The 21,991-nt window shown below is 35.6% G+C and overlaps 1 protein-coding gene and 1 long non-coding RNA gene across 6 annotated transcripts in view; one reads left to right on the top strand and one right to left on the bottom strand.

Moving 5' to 3' along the window:
* Positions 1-21,991, bottom strand: part of PRKG1 (protein kinase cGMP-dependent 1) — a 1,307,463-nt gene that overhangs the window by 1,220,142 nt on the left and 65,330 nt on the right. For 3 of the 5 annotated variants that reach the window (NM_006258.4, XM_011539952.3, NM_001374782.1), the window contains exon 1: positions 3,308-3,722. The exons of 1 other annotated variant lie outside the window; for it this stretch is intronic. In NM_006258.4, the coding sequence (NP_006249.1) occupies positions 3,308-3,618 (311 nt within the window). In that variant the 5' untranslated portion in view covers positions 3,619-3,722. Of the gene's footprint in view, positions 1-3,088; positions 3,723-21,991 lie in introns of those variants that run through there. One more of the 5 variants, XM_017016413.2, reaches the window with a different exon arrangement.
* On the top strand, positions 9,657-15,630 carry LOC102724719 (uncharacterized). The gene is made up of 2 exons (NR_120678.1): positions 9,657-9,724; positions 15,279-15,630. It is a non-coding gene; the product is annotated as an uncharacterized LOC102724719 (long non-coding RNA).

Raw genomic sequence — 21,991 nt, 5'->3', positions numbered from 1 at the left:
AAACAAAATAGAACATGGAGTGAAAGCAACAGCTTACAAAAATACAAAGACACTAACCACTTTTAGGAACTCAAGTCTATATAATCCAACTGAAATGACTGAAACCCTGTGACATGAAAATGGAAAAGATTTGGGAATATTTTCAAAAGATAAGGGGTTTAGATCAAAATTTCAGAGACTGAATGTTCTAACATGATATAGAATCAATTTCAGGAATGAAACTTCATGAAATAAAATTACTTAAGTCCATAAGAACTATTCTATATAGGCAATCAACAGGCTATCTGATCTCACATAATGAATGCTTAGGTTTTGTTTTTCATTTTAAGGGTTTATTTGCTCAGTTTATTTCCAAATATAGTTTAGTAGTTTTACATTCTCAAGGAGTTATTTGGTAGCAGTGGAATACAGATTCCAATTTGCTACATCAGTTCTTTCCTTCACATAAGTATTGTATCTATACAGATTGTGAAAGAGACCAATAAAAACCCTCCTCCTACCTCATAGTTATAGCAGGAGTGTCCTGGCTCAGTGCTGGAATCTGACAGAACCTTCCCTCCAATTCCCACATTAAAGGAAAAATTCCAAGCCAAAAATGTTAAAATGATTCAAGTTATTAAGTTAATTTACATTTTATACTATTTTTAAATGACCAAATTTACCAAGAAACCAGAACTAAAAAAAATTATAATCCTCAGAAGGCAACCTTAGTAAGTAAAAACTAAACAGATATATTTGCATATATCAGATAAATGAACAGAACATTAGCGGGGCAGTTACCTACATCTAAAAAAAAGAGAATCAAAAACTAGCATGAACGTAAACTGGAAATTAATGTGTCTATTTAGATAGTTTCATTTTAACTGGAAACTCACAATAATCTATATGTATGTTTAAGAAAGATGGCTACATTTAAGATGTAGTAAAGATGAAATACAAAGACACAAACACTTGTTGCCAGTAAGTCCGTGTAATCAAATTATTCATAGTGAAATACATTGAAAGGCAAACAAGTCTTCTTTGGTTTGGCAGGTTTTCTTAACTCTTTGTGGAGCTACCTTGTACAACCATTCAAACAACATAAGATTTATTCATTTTGCATACAATGTACTTCTTTTTTCCCTAAGAAAGGTACACTTTCTACTACTCAAGCCAATTTTTTTCTAGTTTTCTTTATGTAAGTGTGAAAAAAGAACAGATGTTTTTCCAAAATTATTTAAGCTTGGAAGGCATTCTATCATTTTCCTCAATAAAATACTTCAGAGTCACCCAAAGCATCATGGCAATACCTTAAGAGCTGAGTCCTTTAAAATACAAGTTATTAGTAAGAAATCAGTATCAGGACACACAGTGTTGTTTGATAGATAAAATGTTATTATAATGATAGATAAAATGTTATTATAATGGGATGCTGTAAATTATTTGCCACACCAGCTTTATTTTCCACTCTGGACCTTTTTCGTTTGTTTGTTTTTCAATCTAGATATTCTACAAGTCATGTACAAAGAGGCTTTTAAACTTATCACATTGTATAGCTCATTCCCTACTGCCTAGAATCTTGTAAATCTCTGATGGAATGTGTAACTGGAGTTATCAGCTGGCTTCAACATGCTTCACTATGAAACCTATTAAAGTGGTCTTTTTGTAAAAGCAGAGTTTGCTCTGTGTCACTCAAAAGTCCTGCGGATACAAAAATGAGATCCTATGAAATGTTTAAAGATGCAGAGAGCTGTCTTTGAGTTATTTTTTCATTATGCAAAACTTGGCCCAGGAGAGATGGTCATGTACCTCGTTAGCTAAAACAGTCAGGCATGTCAGGATTGCAAATTAATTTACCAGAGAAAGTTGAAGTTTATTCAGATCACTCAGGTTTCTAAGGCAGATCTAAGTCTGCTGAACTATTAGGGCAATTTGGTAAGGTCAGAATCTCAGAAATGTTTATCCTTATTGTCTCTTTCCAACTCCCTCGCAGAATACAAACTCCTCCCTAAACTAAGCCTGCATGAACAGCAAATGTTCCATGGGAATCAACATGTATAGGTATAACTCTAAGTTTTCAAAAGTAGTAATTGGTACATGCTGTGATTCTCCCCAAAAAACATCCAATAAATACAAATAGAGATAATCAAATATTTACTTTCTCCTTATATTAACTTGTTGTATTTATGAAGTGAAGGGTTTCGATGGACCTTGCATTATTACGTAACACGTGCCATCCAGCCAATGTGATTTCGTTAGTAGTAGAGTAAGCAGCAATATCCTTGGTTTTATCAATTACGTTATTATCTATTAATTTAAAATGCCGTTCTTTTGGGTGCTCTCCCACATTCTGTTAACCTCATGTTCCTGTCGCTTTACTCTCCATATGAACTCTGAGTTGAGTGTTGTATAACAAGTTTCATTAAATTTTTCCCATCCAAGTTATGAAGCCCACTAACATCAGAATTGCACAGTTCCCTAAAAGGCTAGAACAATGCCAGAGTGGTTGCATTAGAAGCCAAGAGTAAGGCAAACAATGGGTCCACGTTTTAAATAAGATAAGTGTGCTTATCTGTATCTGACCCTGGAAACAAGCAACCACCTCTTGGGAGATGGAGATGCTCCATTAGTAACATTATGCACGTTTCTTAAGTAAAATAAGCAATCTTCTCCCTCATATGTTATGAAAAAATATTTCTTCAAAATCAACAGACTAGTCTTCCATTTATGGATTGTAAATGTCATCCAATTCAGGAAATCAAAAATTCTTCCTTTTTCTATGCCTATTTGCTTATGTTTCACACTTTGATGATGACAAGAACGTCAGGTTTGAAGGGTACCAGCGTGAAGCGCCAGCAGGTAGAGAAATCCGGGAGAGCCACAAAAGCATAGAAAGTATGGGTGATCAGACGCATTTCATTTCAAGTCTGATGAGCCTGCATTTAGGATTTTCCAGCTGGGCTGGTTTGCCAGGGCTTTTGGGAGACGGGGGCTTTTTATTTCTTCTCTCACACTCACACACACGGTCGGACACACACCTGGGACGTGTTCAAACTCTACGTACACTAGGTGGCTTATACGAATGTATATGTATATTTAAAAATAATACCTTGACATCTGACAAAGACACGAAGGCAACGTATGTGCAGTGAGTCTGGCTCTGAGAAACGTGCACAGCCCCGCAAGAAGTGCCCGTTAAAATGAAACATTTCTGAGGATGAGGACAGACATGGCAAGCGGGAGGGGCGGGGGCCGACAGACAATACAGAGACCCGCAGCTCCCCATCGCCAGGGCGCCACATGGACCCGGCGCGTCACCCCTGCTTACTGTGGGCTCTTGGGGTAGAAGGGCAGGGTCACATGGCTGAGATCCTGGATGTCGAAGGCGGTGGGCTCGGCGGAGATCGCCTGCCGCTTGGTGCGCGGCTCGCCCTGCAAGGTGCTCGCGCTCTGCTTCTGCGCCTGCTGGGTGGCTGGTCGGATCACCGAGCGGTACTTGTCCAGCTCGTTCTGCAGCTTCTGGATCAGTTCGTCCTTCTGATCCAACTCCAGCTCCAGCTCGTCGATGAGAGCATCCCGCTGCCTCAGCTCCTCGATCTTCTCCTGGAGCGCGTACTGTAAATCCCGCAAGGTGCCCATGCTCCTCCGGGCTGCCGGGGGCTCCTTCCTGCCGCTGCTCCGCGTCTTGAGGCTTCCTCCCCTCTCCGATCAACTTTCCCCAAAGTCGCCGCTGCCTCCCGAGTGCCAAAGCTTCCTACTTGAGACCAAAGCCAGCCCTGGCTTCTGAGCATGCCCAGTCCGCCGGCTCCAGCCACCCAGAGTTTCAGTGCAGATTCCACTTCTCTGGGCTGGCTGTGAGGCTCAGAGCGGGGAGAGCAAACCAGCAGGTCCAACCCGGGATTAAACCTGAGACGCGGTGGGCGCCGCGGCGCGGGGGAGAAGAGTCGGAGGCGCGGTGGCGGGGGAGCGGGAGGAGGGGACGTGAATGGGGGCTCCGAGGCAGCGGCTGGGCTCTCAGAGTCCCTCGCGCCGGGCGCCCAAGGAAGCTTGCGGGGCGTGCGGGGAGCCTGATAAGCCTCCGAGGCGCGCCGGGGGTGTGCGGGTGGAGCGAGGCGGGAGCGCTACTTCGGGGGTGGGGAGGTGGGAGGGAGGGGACAGGGAGGACCCCGGGCAAACTCGGGAGGCCTCAGCTGACTCCAGAGCAGACCAGCCTGGAGAATGTTGAGCTACGATCCTAGCGACGTACGAGGCATAGGGGACTCTGCATCATCAAAGCTCTGAGTTCTGGAGGTATTTTGACGGCCGGCCTCACTAAGGAAAGCTCCCGAGCGGTGTGGCCGAGCTGTCGCTTCTCCCACGCCACCTTTCCCACCCAGAGCGCCTCACACAGGTGGCTAACGCTTGCGAAGAAACTTGCCTCTCAGGAGATGCGAGCGAGTCGGCGCCCGCGAGGAATTCCCCCTTTCAGCCTACTACCTTTGGGAAAGGGTTGTGGGGTAGGGGGTGGGGTTTCCGATTTTAGCACCCGAGGCGTTGCTACTCTTCGCCTGCTCCAGATAGTTACTTTCCTTTCTGCCCCTTCCAAACTCTCATCGGGGAACTGTTTTAGGGCAAAGGCCAAAAACGGATTTGGGCCCTAGCAGGTCACTCAGCTTCCCCATGAGCCCTCCGCCTTGAGCTGGTGCCTGGGAATAGTTCTCGGATGGGCCTTGCTTCTTCCATTTGCTGAATTTGGCGGGGAGAGGGTGGGGGTTAAAAATCATTCCCGAGCTCCAAAAATTTCATCTTGAAACTGAATCATACCTTTAAAAATATTACTTTCCTCACAACCAAGCTGTTAGGAATGTATCTTTCCACTTGAATGGCCAGGAAGACATCCTGACACAAACTTTGAAGAAGAGGGAAAATCGTGAAGGAGCGAGGGAGACCACGCAGGCTGCAGTGAATTGTACACTATACTGCAGTCACCCCCACCTCTACCCACTCCCACCCTCATCCCTGCCCACTCAATATTCCCCAAAATGATCACAATTAGGTAACTTCCTTTCTATCCAAGTGTTACACTCCCATCATGGGAACACATGTTTAGAATCCCCAAATATCTGCCTAATACGTACCTAAATCCCTAATATTTGCTTAAGACATTACGAACTCATCCAATTTTATAGCATCTTTATTGGCAGATTTTTGATTACTATTCTTGGGCACTCAATATTATAATCCTCAATGCTCTATTTGGTTATTCCTTAACACTAAAACAAAGTGGACAGAAAATAAAATTGAATTGCAATGCAATTCTAAACTTAGCAAAGAATAGTATCAAAATAACTTGCACACTGTTGCTTTTGAATACACAACTTTTTGTATTTAAGCTAGAGACAGAGGAAGGGAGGAAAGGAGGGAGGGAGGTCAAGGTATCTTAACAAGCTTGTTCATTTAAAGTGTCCTTGTTTTTAATTAGAGGACTAAATGACAAAATATATAGTCCTAAATATTCTTTTATGTAGATTATGATCTAGTAATTCTCTTAATGCAGATTACACAAGACACTTCATTTTTCTGCTTTCCAACACAGACTTTCAGAAGTGCATTTATTTCTAAATGTGATATATAAAATGGATCATTCTCAAAACATTTTCTTTTGCAATGAAGAAATGAGCAACTTACAAATATTGAAAATAATAATAGCTCTGAATTACTGTTGTTTTAATTAAAAGTAAACCAAGCAGAAGTACTGTGACTTTGTATAACTCACTGTATTCTAAAAAAGCTTCCATGAAAATTTCCTTCTTCTGGGCAAAAGGCCAAATTCTTATTTAACCTGTGGGAATTCTTTATTTCCATGGGAAAATGTTGAATACAAAATGACTTTTTCCTATAGATCTATTATTGGGGTTCATGAAGCCATGAGTTTATGTCTAAAAATATACCAGATACAATGTATAGAGGACATAATTAGACAACTGCTAAGCTGGGTTCAGAATTCCAGGATTTTCTCTTTGTTTTTTTTTTGTTTGTTTGTGTGTTTGTTTTTGAGACGGAGTTTTGCTCTGGTCACCCAGGCTGAAGTGCAGTGGCGCAATCTCAGCTCCCTGCAACCTCCGCCTCCTGGATTCAAGTGATTCTCCTGCCTCAGCCTCCGGAGTAGCTGGGACTACAGGCACCCGCCACCACGCCGGCTAGTTTTTGTATTTTTAGTAGAGACGGGGTTCACCATGTTGGCCAGGATGTTCTCGATCTCTTGATCTCGTGATCTGCCCGCCTTGGCCTCCAAAAATGCTGGGATTATAGGCATTAGCCACTGTGCCCAGCCATCTCGTTCATTTTTAAAGTGAAAACAAATATTTTAAATACGTTTTTCATTGATGTTTTAGAGTTTATTTAGGGTTTAAATGGGGTTACTTAATGTTTTTGAGCAGCACAAAGAGAGAAGGTTCTTCCTCATTTGTAGAAAGTCTGTCTACATGTACAAAGGAAAATAAAAACTAAAACACTTTCCCCAAAAATAAAAAAACCAAAAATATTTAGGCATTTTGGAAAAAAGTGAGTTTTTTTACACTAAATTATGTAAATACTTATCAGTATTTAAGCTGGCATATCTAAATGCAACTATAGGATGTATACACATTACATTTTCATTTTAAATTTACATCTCATGATATAAAATCTGTTCCAGGATGAATCTGATATTGAGAGTCAGGAATCTGTTATAACAAACACAAATAGAGTAAAAAGCTGAAAAGACATGACTTTTACAATTGACTTTAAAAGGTGTTCAAGGAATAGAATATATTTAGTTATCTCAGGCTGTGTTATTTTTTTAAATTGACTTCCCCTTAAATGCTTTATAATTTCATATGCAAAATCCAGGATTCTAGCCTTTTCTCTTTCATTTTTAAAGTAAAAATAAATATTTTAAGTATGTTTTTCAATGATGCTTTTGACCAGCTGTTTAGATCTTGAGCGACCAGGTTTCCATCTCAACCTTTTGAGTGTTTCCAATATTTTCTTAAACATCTTCTGCGTTGTACTTAGTAAATGCTGGAAATAAACCCTATGTGAAAAATCAAAGTCCTGCAATTACGTCTTAACAGACAAATTATCTTTACTAAGTGTCATGTAGTAAACTTAATTGGCTAAATTACAAGATCAAAGATCAGGCACAAGTCTACTTTCTGCTAATTAGGAAGTGTCTACCTCAGATTCCTTCAGGGATAGAGTAGAGGAGAATGGCTTGATCTGAGCCCTGCCCCACTGCCTATCTGAGATGAAGCTTTGACATTAGATGCTAACAGTTAGAACAATGCAATTTTGAAGGAACTGACTTCATACTCTAGAATTCCAGAAACAACTCACAACCTGTTTTTCAGCAGTCTTCCTTTTTCATAACTTTAATAGAAGCAAAGTTCTACTGGTAGCCAGACCAAACTGTGGCCTGTTGAACTCCAACATGCTCTTTAGTCTTGCACCCAATCCTCATAATTGAGAATAAAAACTGACATGCCTTCCTTAATGGATTCTCAGAATCATTTAATGAGCTATTCCAATAAAGTAGCTTTATTATAATACTGGCTATTCAAAAATAAATCTGTAGAATTTGTCATCCTTCACTAAAAACATAATTAGCCCAAAAGAACTGTGCTAATTTTATCCACTTATCCATTCCACTGACACTGTATTTCCTGGAAGAATCTTAAGTTTTGAAATTTTCTTCTGTCATTTCATGTGTATATCTTGAATGGGAAAAAATAAACAAACAAATATATAGCTGAGCCTTTCAGGAGACAGAAGCTTCCTCTGGCAGAAGATTGCTAAAAGTAACAAGTCCTCCTAGGAATCTAGATTTTAAAGCTATTACTGGCAGACATGACGGTCTGTTCTAAGTTGCTAATCATAATCAAGATCACAAAAAATTAACTAACTTCCTTGACTTCTTAATGCATGATAGGTATTGTTCATACAACCCTATAAGTTCAATATTATTAATATTCTATTAATATTAGAGAAAATGGAGTCACAGAATCATTCACCTAATCAATGGCAAAGACTGGCTTCATATCCAGACTAGGTGATGTAGAGCTGAGGCCCCTACCCCTCATTACTTTCTGCAGAACTTATAAGTGTTGCTACTGTCCTATTCTGTATCCAGAGAGAGAAGAGTGTCTTTAACATCAACTTGCTTGACTTAGGGGTCAGGGAGGTGAAGAGGACAAATTTGGAAAATCCTGAAAGAGCAGCAACAAGGTTTTCAAAAAGTTCCTTTTCACAAAACAGTCCTGTCTTTATTTCAACAAGATTACATTCTGGCTCAGGGTAAGTAACTTGAACCCATTTGCCAGAGATTGTACTAATCCTAAAATTGCTTGAAATTGTCCTGTCTTTAAAACTAAAAGTTCTAAGAATCTTCCAGTCTCGGGCAAACCAGGAGAGTTGGTCACCCTATTCAATTCAAAATATCTGAGCTTCTCTAGTTTATAAATATTTTCAAATTTTGCTTTCCACATTACTGATAGAAAAGTAAAACCAAGGAAGATCTGTAATGATAATACCTATTATTTTAGGCACATTACAAACCCACTTATACATTACTTTGTGTTAATATGTTTTAGGAAAGCAATCATCCTATTGCAATGAATAATAATGCACAACCGGAACTGTCTTTGGACTATAAAGGGGGATGAGTCAGACAATAGAATTTTAATTATACTTTGATAAATTAGACAATAATTCAAGGATCCCTTTTTGCTTTATTGTTTTTACAGAAACTGGAACTTACATTGATTCCCTGTGAATTAAGTACAGGGATTCAAGTGCCTGCTATTTTATTAATTCCTATAGAACTAGTTTTATAATTGTGTTTAGTGGATAGATTTGGCCATAAGGAATATATATTTACATGGATATAAGTAAAAATTGAAATAGTTTGGCTGTTTTCAAGTTATACTATTTCAAATGGTAAGTTCTGCGTAGAAAAGAAAAAAATAATAAACCATTAATGATGAAAAACTTACTGCAGAGACTTGGAAAGTAACAGCGTACTGTACCATAATTGCTAATGTACTTAGCATTTAATACTGAATTAGTGTCATGCTTAATATTAGGTGAAATGAATTTTTATAGTCCCCTTCTTAAGATGACGGGAAGTTATTATTGGGTCTCAGGCTAAACTAGTTCTCATGAAAACTCATGAGCTATCTAACAAAATGAATATTTATTTGTACTCTTTAGTCAGCTGCTCATTTACAATAGCCAAAAGAAAAAAAATCAAGAAAAATATTAGGTTTTTTGTATTTTGAAATAAGTGTAAAATTTTTAAATGCATAAAATAGAATTTAAAATGCTTTATTCACAAGACACCATTTTACTGCATTTGAAGCGTAATGAATATGTACATGAGCATGCAACATACCTGTATGATAAATAAGTTAGAGTTGCTCAGTTCCATTTCAGTGATTCTTCTGGTATATTAAATGTGCATCTTTTACTAAGGTAAATCATCAATATTTTCCACAAAATATTCTAAAGTATTTTTAAAAGTAATTTTGATTCTGAAAACAGATTTGATATTGTGGGGCTTATAGAATAGCTCTCTAGTCCATGATTTGTCTTTTTTGCTGTTGTTTGTATTTTAACTAGTATTTAGCAGTTGATATAACTTGGCCATTTTCTTCTTACAGGTTTTGTAACCAAAATTTAAAGTAAAGAAAACTGAAGTTTTGCTAGCAAACTCTTTAAAAATAATAAGGTAAGAAAATACTAAAGATGTAAGAAGGACAATGAAATAGAAATTTGGGTGAATTGAATTTTTATTAGTAGGTCAAATGACTGCATTGGGCAAGAGAAAGATGTCAAGAAATTTATTTACATTGTGAGAATGTCAGTGATTCAAGGGAGAGGGGGCTTTGCAGGCAAAAAGACATAGTAGGGAAATACATGGAGATCTCCACTCTCATTAACTTAATGGGCATGTAAATATCACCTAGCTTCAAATTAAGGAATCTTCAAATTGTGACTTTTCTATAATCATCATGAGATGGAAATCCAGAAATCCACTTTTCTAACGACAGGCAAATGAAATAGTAGGCTAGTAAAGCAAATGGATATCATTCCAGGGCCAAGATATTGCCACGTATTATTCTTGAAACAAGGGTAGAAGCCCCAGGCTGGGGCCCAGGAGATGCATACATTCACTATGTATTTGTAACTAACTACAACATTATCATTGGCCTTGCCTAATGTAGGTTTTTAGAGAAGATTCAGTAATTCCTTCATGGTCTAGACTGGATTTTTAAAAATTCATTATTGAAAGCACAGGCATTTAATCTGGTAGGTAAAGAATAAATATTAGTGTTCCAGATTTAAACTTAAAAGACAAATGTTCAAACACCTATATAATGAAGAAGTTACCCAAAGCAGCAATATCTAAAGTATCATATAGTTTCAATGCACCATATAAATAAATGTACAATAGGAAATTTCACACTTTTTTGATATTAGCACAAAATAGTGTCTGTCTAGAGTCACTGTATTACATACAAATTTTTTACTCAAAGAGTTAATGTAGAGAGTCATTATGGAAAATTCATCTAATTTTTCCCCAGATTATAATACAGCCAAAATTCTAATCATCTAGTTTCTTTAGAAAATCATCTATGTTGACTACAACTTTTAAGTGGAAAAAATAACAGGGAAATCTTCACAATGTTTATTTGTGGAATATTAAAAGCAATTGCTGCTGTTAGGAACATAGAGAACTTAGTGAAAATTGCTTACTTTCATTTTCCAGTTTCCACTGGTTAGACCCTCCATCAGAAAACAGCAAGTAATATTCTCTCAGCAGTCACAGAACTAAAACTTACCTAAGATAACAGTGTTTCCATGTTTGGTCTATTTTTTAGTTTACTTTATGCCACTCTCAAGGGCACACACAAATAACATATATATATATATATATATATACACACATACATACAAACACACAAACACAGATAATTAAAGGAGCGACAGCAACATATGCCATGGCTTAACATCCCATCCTATCCCACCTCCCACAGAAAAAAAAAGCAAATGTGTTAGCTATGATGTGAATGTCTCCCCCAAAGTTCATATGCTGGAAACTTAATCCCCAGTGCACCAAGATTGAGAGGTGGAATCTTTTAAGTGGTGATTCTTTCAAGAAAAAAAAGTAGTTGTATAAAGACACATATTTTCTAGAAAATATTCAAAGTGACAGGAAGAAAACATAGTTATCATGGATCTTAAGCAGGCAAATATGTTGTTCTAAGAGGAGTGTCAAAGAAAGCTCTGCTAGCAACCAGGCGACTCTAATGCAGGGCTTCCCTCAGAATGTGAACTAAAGAACACTACTTCCTTAAAATGGTAATAAATGTAATGAAAAAGGGTTTCATGGTCAAAAATGTTTGGGAGAGATTGAGAAAAATGTAAGAAAAGAGATTTCTTTCAGTATTAATATCAGTACTTTTAACATTCCAGTATGTATTATGAATTTCCAAAATAAATATACAGTAAATACATAAAATATTACATACTGTATATACCATGTAAATAAATGGTAAATATATACATTGTTTAACAACTAAACCTTCCTTCTTCTAATACTTTCAGTGTTGAACCTGAGTATTCATGGCATTTAATACTTTAAAAGTCAGTTAGACAATTTAATAGAAAGTACAAGCATTTTCTCCATTTGTGAAATCCCCTATTGCTATCTACATACACAGCAATATCTGAGACAAGAACACACAGTTCTCGTCCCACAAACAGTACTGTCAACTACTCACATCTCCCCTTTCAAACCACAATTTGCCCAGCCTGTGGCCACAGCCAATGACATGACAGAAAACCATGAACATATAACAAATTTGGTGCCTACAGGAAGGATTAGCCTTGCCATTTGATCCATAATCAATTTCCTCCCTTTAAAATTAGACTGGGTCACAGGATTATTGCTTAGGTTGTGAAAATGTTCAAGGAAGGACTACAATGGGATCAAAATAAGGTAGAGCATTTGATGAGTAATTAATTACCAAAGTGTTACAGTGATCCTTTAGTTCTTTAAGTTCTCCAAGCATTAAGCAATTACGTCTTAACATTTCATAGCTTCCAATGGGAATTCTCTTTTTGCCCGTGAAGACCTATTCTCAACCCCTTTCACTGCCTTCAAATCCTAGCCCTATCACTTCCCCATTACCGCCTCTCATCTCTTGAGTCATTTATTCAATAAATCTTCAGTTCTTCCCTAAAAAAACTCTCTCTGATAATCCTTCAGAATCATCCCCATAATGTTTTCCCTTCTAAAAGCACTTTATCACAATGCATAATTATATATTACGCATTCTAACCCTAACACTAACCCTAATATTTGCATAAATATTTGTTAGATAGATACATCTCCCATTAGACTGTAAACTATGAAAGCAAAGAATTATGTCTATTTTGTTCATCAACACCTAGAACAGGAAGGCGCTCACTATACTGGCTAATTGCGTTGAATAAATAAAGGTAGGAGTAAATACAGTCAACAATTATTTATTTAAAATGCAAAACACACCTCTCTGATGGAAAAGAATCAAAAGGGAAAACTTTTCTGTTTATTGATGGTGTTGTGTAATATTTAATAAATCAAACATATCAGAGGCTTAGTTTAAGCCTTTCTGTATGTAACAAATCAAATATATCAGAGGCTTAACTTTAAAATGGGTTTTCTTTTATGGAAAAAAAATACATCCCTATTTGAACAACATATTTGCCTGTTTAAGGCCCATGGTAACTATGTTTTCTTCCTGTCACTCTGATTTTTTTTTCTAGGAAATAATGTGTCTTGATATCCAACTACTTTTTTCAACTCTCTCAATGCACTTTTAAATCACCATAATCTCACCTTCTTTCTTACTCTTAGGCTTATAATATGTTGTCTTCAAGGTACAGTGCTCTTTTATGTAACACTGGCAATGTCTACAGGATCAACAGTTTTGCAATTTCTTTTTTGTTTCTTCCACAGTTCCAGCTACTCTTCCAAAAGCTGACTGCTTTATTTGGAGTTGGCCTTCTTTACTAGTGCTTCTTAATACATACATCTTGTAGAAAACTATTCATACCATTTGACATTATTTCGAAAGCAGATGCTTTCAATTAATATACTTAATAACTTCTGTGATTATTAACCAATGCTTGTGTCCTACCTGATCATTTATAATTTGAAAGTTAAGATTTAAACAAAGTTCAAGAAGCAAATTTACCTCCATCTGCAAAATTCCTTCACTAACTTAATTCTTAACATACATATATTATTTCCCATCTCCCCTCCCTTGTTCTTGCTTTGCTTTCTCCATAGAATGTCAGAGTAGGCCCTAGATATAAAATCATAAGCTTAACATCACAATCAATTGAATATGAAAGTGCTAACCTTTGGGAATTAGCAATAATTATAAAGTCACAATGCTATGTTAAATAGTTGTTCAATTAAATCAAAAGACAGGAATATATGGTTTGTTAATGCAAAAAAGAAAATTTCTCAGGTAGATGTTTTCTGTAATTTTAAAAAGTCAGAAAGAATACTTCGTAAGCCCTTCAAATTTATTAGACTTGAATATAGGTCTTGAAAAAGTAATTGTTGTCAACCTTAAAAAAACCTAAAGACAAGCCGTTCCTATGAGAAAATAAAACAAATCCTTATCTATTAAAGAGTCAAATTTGAAGATAAAAAGTCAAAGCCTTGCATATATACATCCCAAAAATCTTTATAAATTAAGCTTTTAACTGCAATGTTATAATGCTGCTTCAGTGTCTAAACAGAAATCTAAGTTTCTGATTCATAACTGTGTGAAACTTCTAGATCTTCAACAAAACCTTAGCATTAATAACCATGTGAATGTAAAAACCCTCTTGGCATTGCATCATTTATCTTTAGTGGTTTTAATTAGATTTTTCCTCTCACAAACTGGGAGTCTCATGAGGCAGTCATCAATATACCTAATCCTTTTGGAAGCACCATTTCCCAAGAGGAAAAACATATGTAATTAAAATTAATAAAGCTCCACAACAGAAAAATGTCATGTTGATATGATATGCCTTTCTATATGTAGAAAATATATTCTTTATTCAGTTAAAAATAATATTTTTAGCAAATAGTTTCTGATTGAGATTTAAATGTTTCATTTTTTAAAAGTACAAGGTAAAGCAAAGCATCACATGACAAGAGAAATTTGTACTCCTTCTTTACATGACTCATTTTATTTCAAATACACTTCCATAGTGTACAGCTTCAACAAACAGTACATTCTTCAAATTTATCTCTCAGCCATTAAATACTAATTTCTAATGACTAAAATACAGAACTAAAGGTACAATTGCACCCTCTACTGTCCAAATGTTCTACTCCATATTGAGCACCGTGTGTCTTTGTTTAACACAATCATTATAAAAATAACAGGTAAATAACACTGGTTTCCTTTTGACATTAATTAGCAGATCCTCAAAAAATTAAGCTCTAATTATAAAATTTCGATAGTGATGCAAATGGAAGCTTGCCACTTTTATAGTTACTTGTAATAACCTAATTTAGAAAATGACTCTTATTAACGTACAGTCATGCATCATGTAATAACTTTTCTGTCAATGATAGACCGCATATACAACAGTGGTCTTGTAAGATTCTAATGAAGCTGCTATACATAGTTGTACCTTTTTTATCTTTTATACCATATTTTTACTGTACCTTTTCTATGTTTAGATATGTTTAGATACACAAATACCATCATGTTACAATTGCCTACAGTATTCAGTACAGTCACATGCTATATAGCTTTGTAGCTTGGGAGCAATACGCTATATCATATAGTCTGGGTGTGTAATAGGCTATATACCATCTAGGTTTGTGTAAATACACTTTTTGATGTTTGCACAATGATAAAATTACCTAAAGGCACGTCTCTTAGCATGTATCCCTGTTGTTAAATGACGCAGCTGTACTTGAGTGAAGTATTCTATTAACTTACTGGTAATGAACGGCACTATTAATATCCTTTTCAACATACCCATAACAAGGAAAAATAGGAAATCATTCAAGCAAACAATTGGCATATTTTTCTAATAATGTATAAAGTTTGCCAAATTTTGTTTCAAGTTAAAAATCAGAAAAACAGAATGTTTCTCTAAAACTGTGCTTCAAAGTTTTTAAGAAAAATTTTGAGTTGATTGTCAAAATCTGAAATACCACTATGAGCTAAAATTAATAGCTTATTTGTATTTTTTTAAACCTATCTTTATTGTTTCAATAGAGACTGTTGGGCCGGGCACGGTGGCTCATGCCTGTAATCCCAGCACTTTGGGAGGCTGAGTCGGGCGGATCGCCTGAGGTCGGGAGTTTGAGACCAACCTGACCAACATGGAGAAACCCCGTCTCTACTAAAAATAAAAAATCAGCTGGACGTGGTGGCGCATGCCTGTAATTCCAGCTACTCAGGAGGCTGCGGCAGGAGAATCGCTTGAACCCAGGAGCAGGAGGTTGCAGTGAGCCGAGATCACACCATTGCACTTCAGCCTGGGAAACAAGAGCAAAACTCCATCTCAAAAAAATAGAAAAAAAAAAGATACTGTTTTGAATTCAAAATAAATTATTATTCAAGAGATTATCTTATTGATTTCTTCTTCTGATGATGGAAGATTCGTTTACTGATAATCAACCCTCCCACCTATAATAATTAGAGAAGCCGAACCAAAAATATAAAAATAAGGCATTGGAAAACTCCCAAGCAGCAAGGAATTGAGGGGCCAATATCCCAGAGAAAAGTGAAGTCTGTCCAGAGATATCAGCCCAACATTCAGTGTTTTTCTGAGGTATTCACCAATCACAAAATACTTCTAAGAAAATAAGTAAGTAAGCATAAATTAGAAGCTGAGAGGCTAAGAAGTTGAGCAAAGCTTCAAAAGTCTAAAGTGGCTGGAGGGAAAAAAACTGAAATCAGGCCCAACCAGTTGAATTCCAGAGAGGCTAAACTTTAACTGCTAATAACCATGTACTCAATAAGACTGAAACCCTGCTTTATATCTGTTCAATCTATAATTGGTTTGGGTGATCTGATCCTAGTCTTCCTGCCCATCAGGAGCAAAAGTAAATCCTCCATGAAGGAAGATCACATAATCCAGAGTATCATACTCTCTCTACAATTTTTCACACCTATGTTGGGATTCAATAAAAAACAATTAGGTACAACAAGGCAACACCCCATAACCTAAAACTGGGAAAACAGTAGAAGCCATGCAACAGAAGGAGACCCATGGGAGATTGTGATATTGGAATTATCAGAAATGGGCTTTAAAATAATTGTGACAATTTTATGTTTCAGAAATGTGATACAAATGTTGGTAATTTTAGCAGAAAACTGGAAATTACAAAGAACTTTTTGAAACTGAAATTTTAGATGAAAGAAAGCAGTAACTGAAAATTAATAACTCTATATAGTCAACTTTAATAATAGAAGACAAAATTAGTAAACTGGAAGATAAGTCCAAATAAAGTAGCTACATTAAATAAAGAAAAGGAATCTTAAAACATAGGAAAAAGGACATGAGATGTGGAGTTATGGGAGAAGTTCTAACCTCTATATAATTGGAGTCTCGAAAGGACAGAAAATAGAGAATACAGCAAAAGCAGTATTTGAAGAAATAATCACTATGAATTTTCCAAAACTGATAAAAACTATCATGCCACAGATTTCAAGAGGCACTGTAAATGACTAGCACAATAAATATAAAAGACGCTGATATGGTTTGGCTGAGTTCCCACCCAAATCTCATTTTGAAGTGTAGCTCCCATAATTCCCGTGTTGTGAGAGGGACCTGGTAGGAGGTAATTGACTCATGGGGGTAGGTTTTTCCCGTGCTATTCTCATGATACTGAATAAGTCTCACAAGATCTGATGGTTTTAGAAAGAGGAGTTCCCCTGCACATGCTCTTTTGCCTGCTGCCATGTAAGAGGTCCCTTTGCTCTTCCTTCGTCTTCCACCATGACTGTGAGGCCTCTCCACCCATGTGGAACTGTGAGTCCATTAAACCTCTTTCCTTTATAAATTACCCAGTCTCAGGTATGTCTTTATTAGCAGCATGAGAACAGACTAATACAGACACACACACACACACACACACACCCCTAGGTATAACACAGTAAAACTGTTACAATGAAAAACAGAAAACTCCTAAGAGCAGACAGACAAAAATATCTGCAACCTTCAAAGGAACAATAAGATAACAGCTTTTTAACTGAAGCAGTGAAAGCCATAAGACAATAGAATGGTAGCCTCAAACGGCTGAAAAAAAATCTGACAACGAAGAATTCTATACTTGACAAAAATATCCTTTGAAAATAAAGGTAAATAGGTATACTTTCAGAGAAATAAAAACTAGAGAATTTGTTACCTACTGATCACACTAAAGGAGATAATAAAATGTATTCTTCAGATCTTTTAAAAGAAAATGAATCCACATGAAAGCACAAAGATTTAAAGAAAATGTAAGTATCATAGAAAGGACAAATATGAGGGTAAATGTATATAAATTATTACTATATAAAACAATAACATCTAACAACAATAATATAAAAGAGAGTAAGGGGCTAATAGAGTTGAATGTTGTTAGGTCATTTCACTGTCTGAGTATTAATAAATGTAATGACTTACCTCTAATTTTACTAATGCCAGCATGTATTACATGTTGTACTCTCTAGAGTAACCACTTAAAGAAGCACAACTTGTATAAATAACAAATTGATGGAGGGATAACTGAAATATTAAAAGTAATAGATTCATTAAAGTAGAGGCAAAAAAGGAAAGAAAAATTAATATAGAACAAAAATCACAAATAGAAAACAAACAGTACAGTGATAGATCAAAGATTTGATCAATGACAGATCAAAATGTATTAGTAAATAAACTAAACAGATTACTCCAGTTACTAAACAAAGACTATCTGACTGAATAAAATAAAAACTATATATATTTTACAAGAGACAACTGTTATATAAGGAAACACAAAGGCTTATAGTAAAAATGGTAAATATAATCCAAACACAAACCAAAAGAAAGTTGATATAGCTCTACTACAATAACAAAGAAGTAAGAACATCAGTGTTACTAGAGTTAAAAAGGGATATCTCTTAATAATAAAATGATTAATTTATCTGAAAGTAATTATAATTCTAAATTTATATGCACTAAATAACAGCCTTCACATTGGCAAAGGTAAAAATTCATAATGCTAAGAAGAGATAGAGACAAATCTAATATCTTATTAGATTTTGACTCATCTCTTAGAATAAGTGATAGACCTAGGCAGGCAGAAATATAATCAGGCTGTAAAAGATAGAAACAATATACTTAACAAACGTGAGTTAATTACACTACATAGAACACCTCATCTCAAAATTGCAAAACACATAATTTTCTAGTGCATAGGGATATTTATTAAAATTGACTATATGCTGACCATAAAACAAGTCTCAACAAATGTCAGAAGACTAAAATCATGGTGTCTTGCTGCAGAAGAATTAAACTGGAAATGAACAAAAATTAACTCAATAATTATGAAAAAGTATTTAATAAAATTCAAAATCCATTTATAATTTTAAAATAATTTTGAAAATTTTGAAATAAGCCAGGTGTGGCGGCTCATGCGCATAATCTCAGTACTTTGGGAGGCTGAGGCAGGAGGATCACTTGAGCCCAGGAGTTTGAGGCTGCAGAGAGCTATGATTGCACCAGTACACTGGAGCCTAGATGACAGTGCAAGATTCTGCCTCTAAAAAAATAAATAAATGAATAAATGAATAAATAAATAATTTAAATGTAGACAGTACTTATCTGTTAAAATGTACACACACACATGCACACAAAATCTACCAAAAACTCATAATTAATGGTGAATTATTAAAAGACTTCTTTATGGTACCACAAAAAGAAATAGATGTCCATAATCACCACATTCATTCAACATTATAATTGAGGTCTGACCACTGAAATAAGGCAAGAACACTAAGTAAAATTCATAAAAATTAGAAAATATTGCATAATTATTGACATAGACCTACATATAAACTATTAAAATAAGTAAATTTGAGGTCAGCATACAGAAATTTTATGTTAAAGGTTAAAAATGTATTTCTATACCAGTAACAAACAAACAAACATTTGTAGCATAAGGATAAACAAATGGTTCAATAGATTACAATGGAGAGCTCCGAAATAAACCTACATACATAAGCTACTTCATATACAACAAATGTGACACTACATAAATATAGTCGTTTAAATAGATAGTACTGCATCAACTAAATACTCATACATCAAGTAAATGAATCTTGTGCCCCTTTTTGTGTGATATACAATAATTCTATTTCAGAAGATTTGTAGCTCTAACTGTGAGAGATAAGATAAGCTTCTAAAAGAAAACAGGGGAAAGGAGAGAGTATTCATTCACTAACTTAGAGTAGGTAATAATGTCATAAACAAGAAAGAGAAAGCACTCATTGTAAGGAGAAAAGCTGATAAAATGAACCACATTAAAATTAGAAAATTTGTTCGACCAAAAGACATCAAAGTAGATGCATATCATTATTCATTTATACAAACCTAGAGAAGCAAGAATGAACCCTTGTTCAAACTATGAATTTGGGGTGATAATGTTGTACCAATGAAGGTTAATTGATTGTAACAAATGTACTACTCTGATAGTGGGGGAGGTTATGAATACTGGATACTGGGGTAGGAGATATATGGGAAATCTCTATACCTTTTGCTCAATTTTGCTGTGAGGCTAAAACCTAAAAATTTAAGTCTATTCTGCTTTTAACATTTTTCACTCAAAAAATTAAGTCTATTTGAAAAAATAAAAAAGGCATAATTACTACAGTCAAATGGCAAACTACAAAGTAGGGAAAGATATTTATAATATATATTTAATTAGCAAAAAGGTTAAGTCGGATGCTATCTTGAATTCCTAAAACTCATAAGTCAAGACACACAACCCCATAGAGAAATGGGCAAAATACTTGAACAGGCATTTCGTAAAAGAAGGTATCCAAATAACCAAGAAACATGAAAAATTGCTCATTTCGTTAGTCATCAGGGAAATGTAGATTAAAACTTCAATCTCACACATCTACCCAAATGGCTAAAATTGAAAAGAATTCACAGCAATCCTTAGTCTGTGGAACAATAGGAACTTTCATCCACTATTAGTGGGAGTATAAATTGTTATGGCCACTTGGGAAAATTTAGGTGGCAACGTCTACCTAAACTAATTATATGGCTATCCCATAATCTAGAAAGTCCAATCCTAAGGATATCTCCAAGAGAAATACATACCTATTATCACCAAATAATGTGTGCAAGAATATCTGTAGCAGCATTATTCATAATATCCCAAACTGGCAATAGCACAAATGTCCATCAACATTAGAATAGATAAATATATATTAATCCAATAGAATATAAAAACAGTAAAAGTAAGTGAACATTGCTACAAGCAACACCACCAATAAAACTCAAAACAATACTCAGCAAAATACACCAGACATAAATGAATATATATCACATGGGCAAAAAATTAATGGTGAAGATAATAGTTACCTTTGAGGAAAAAAGTGGGTCTGGTGATTGGGAAATGGCATGAGGAAGGCTTTTGGGGATCTGGGAAAGTTCTGTTTCTTAATCTGAGTGGTGATTATACTGCTGTAAGGATAACTCATTGAAGACTTATGAATTAAGTACTTTTATTTATGTGTGTTACAATGCATTACAGAAGCATAAAACAAAATCCATATTGATTTTACTAAGAATAACTGGCAAGGAATTACTGAATATCATTTTAGATATCTACAAGGTGCAAAGGCCCCATGCCCAATCCATCATCAAACATTTATATTACACAATCAACAATCAACTGTTAGATTTTAGAAAATAAAAAGTTAATTAGATATATATCCTGACCTCAAAATGTCAGGTATAGAATTATCTACATAAAACTGACTTGGGCCATCATATGTATGTGTGTGTATATACACACAATATATATGTGTGCATACGCACATGATGTTTACATTCCAGATCTCAAAAATATTTTGATTTACTATATCTTAGATATTTCAATAAAAGAACTTACTAAATGTGTATAACTCAGGTATGATTTTCATGTATACACATTCAAGAAATCGGAAAAGAAGATTTTAGTAGAAATATGTCTTAAGAACTGGGATATAACAGGAAAAGTCTCCATTTGATCTCAGTTCAAAAGAATACAGTAGGATGTGAATAGGTGGAGGAAGAAAAGGAAGATTTTTGAGACGGGGTAGGAACAGCATAAGGAAAAGTACAATGTAGGGAAAGCAGACATGGGGTCAGGGGTTCATTTTGTTGGAAGAGAGCAGAAAGGTGAGCGGGTGAAAGGCAGATAGGAGACAGACAAGGACCAGATTGAAGAGGATCTTGGAATGTCAAACTGACAAATGTAGACTACATTAACTTGGTAATGGAAAGGTAGCTACAGTTTCAGCAAAGTGTCATGATCAGAGCTGTGTTTCAGGAAAACTATTCCAACAGCATGATGTCAAATGAATTGGATACTGAAAAGCCTAGGGTTAAGGAGACAGGTTAGGAAGCTGCTGCCATATTAAAGGTCTAATCAAGATATGAAACTAGGAATAGAAGGAAAGATATGGCCAAAGATAACTGCTGAAAACATAATTTCCTTAATATTGGCATGAATTGTTCTTATAATAAACAAGCATTCCCAAGTAGTCATTTTGTAAACTGCTGCACGTTTAACAGTAAAGGGAGATCAAGCTCCTGTGTAACCAGGTACAACTTTTTAAGAAAGTTAACTCTTTTACTGAGAATCTTTTCTGAGCATATCCAGTATTCACAGAGCTAGGGCTCCTCTTCCTGAAGGTGCCTTCCCTGAAACCCAGCTAAACACAAATAGCATATCTAGTACTACTTG

The sequence above is a fragment of the Homo sapiens genome, chromosome 10 (genome assembly GCF_000001405.40).
Source record: "Homo sapiens chromosome 10, GRCh38.p14 Primary Assembly".
Taxonomy (NCBI): domain Eukaryota; kingdom Metazoa; phylum Chordata; class Mammalia; order Primates; family Hominidae; genus Homo; species Homo sapiens.
This window is presented reverse-complemented; position numbering and strand designations above follow the sequence as displayed.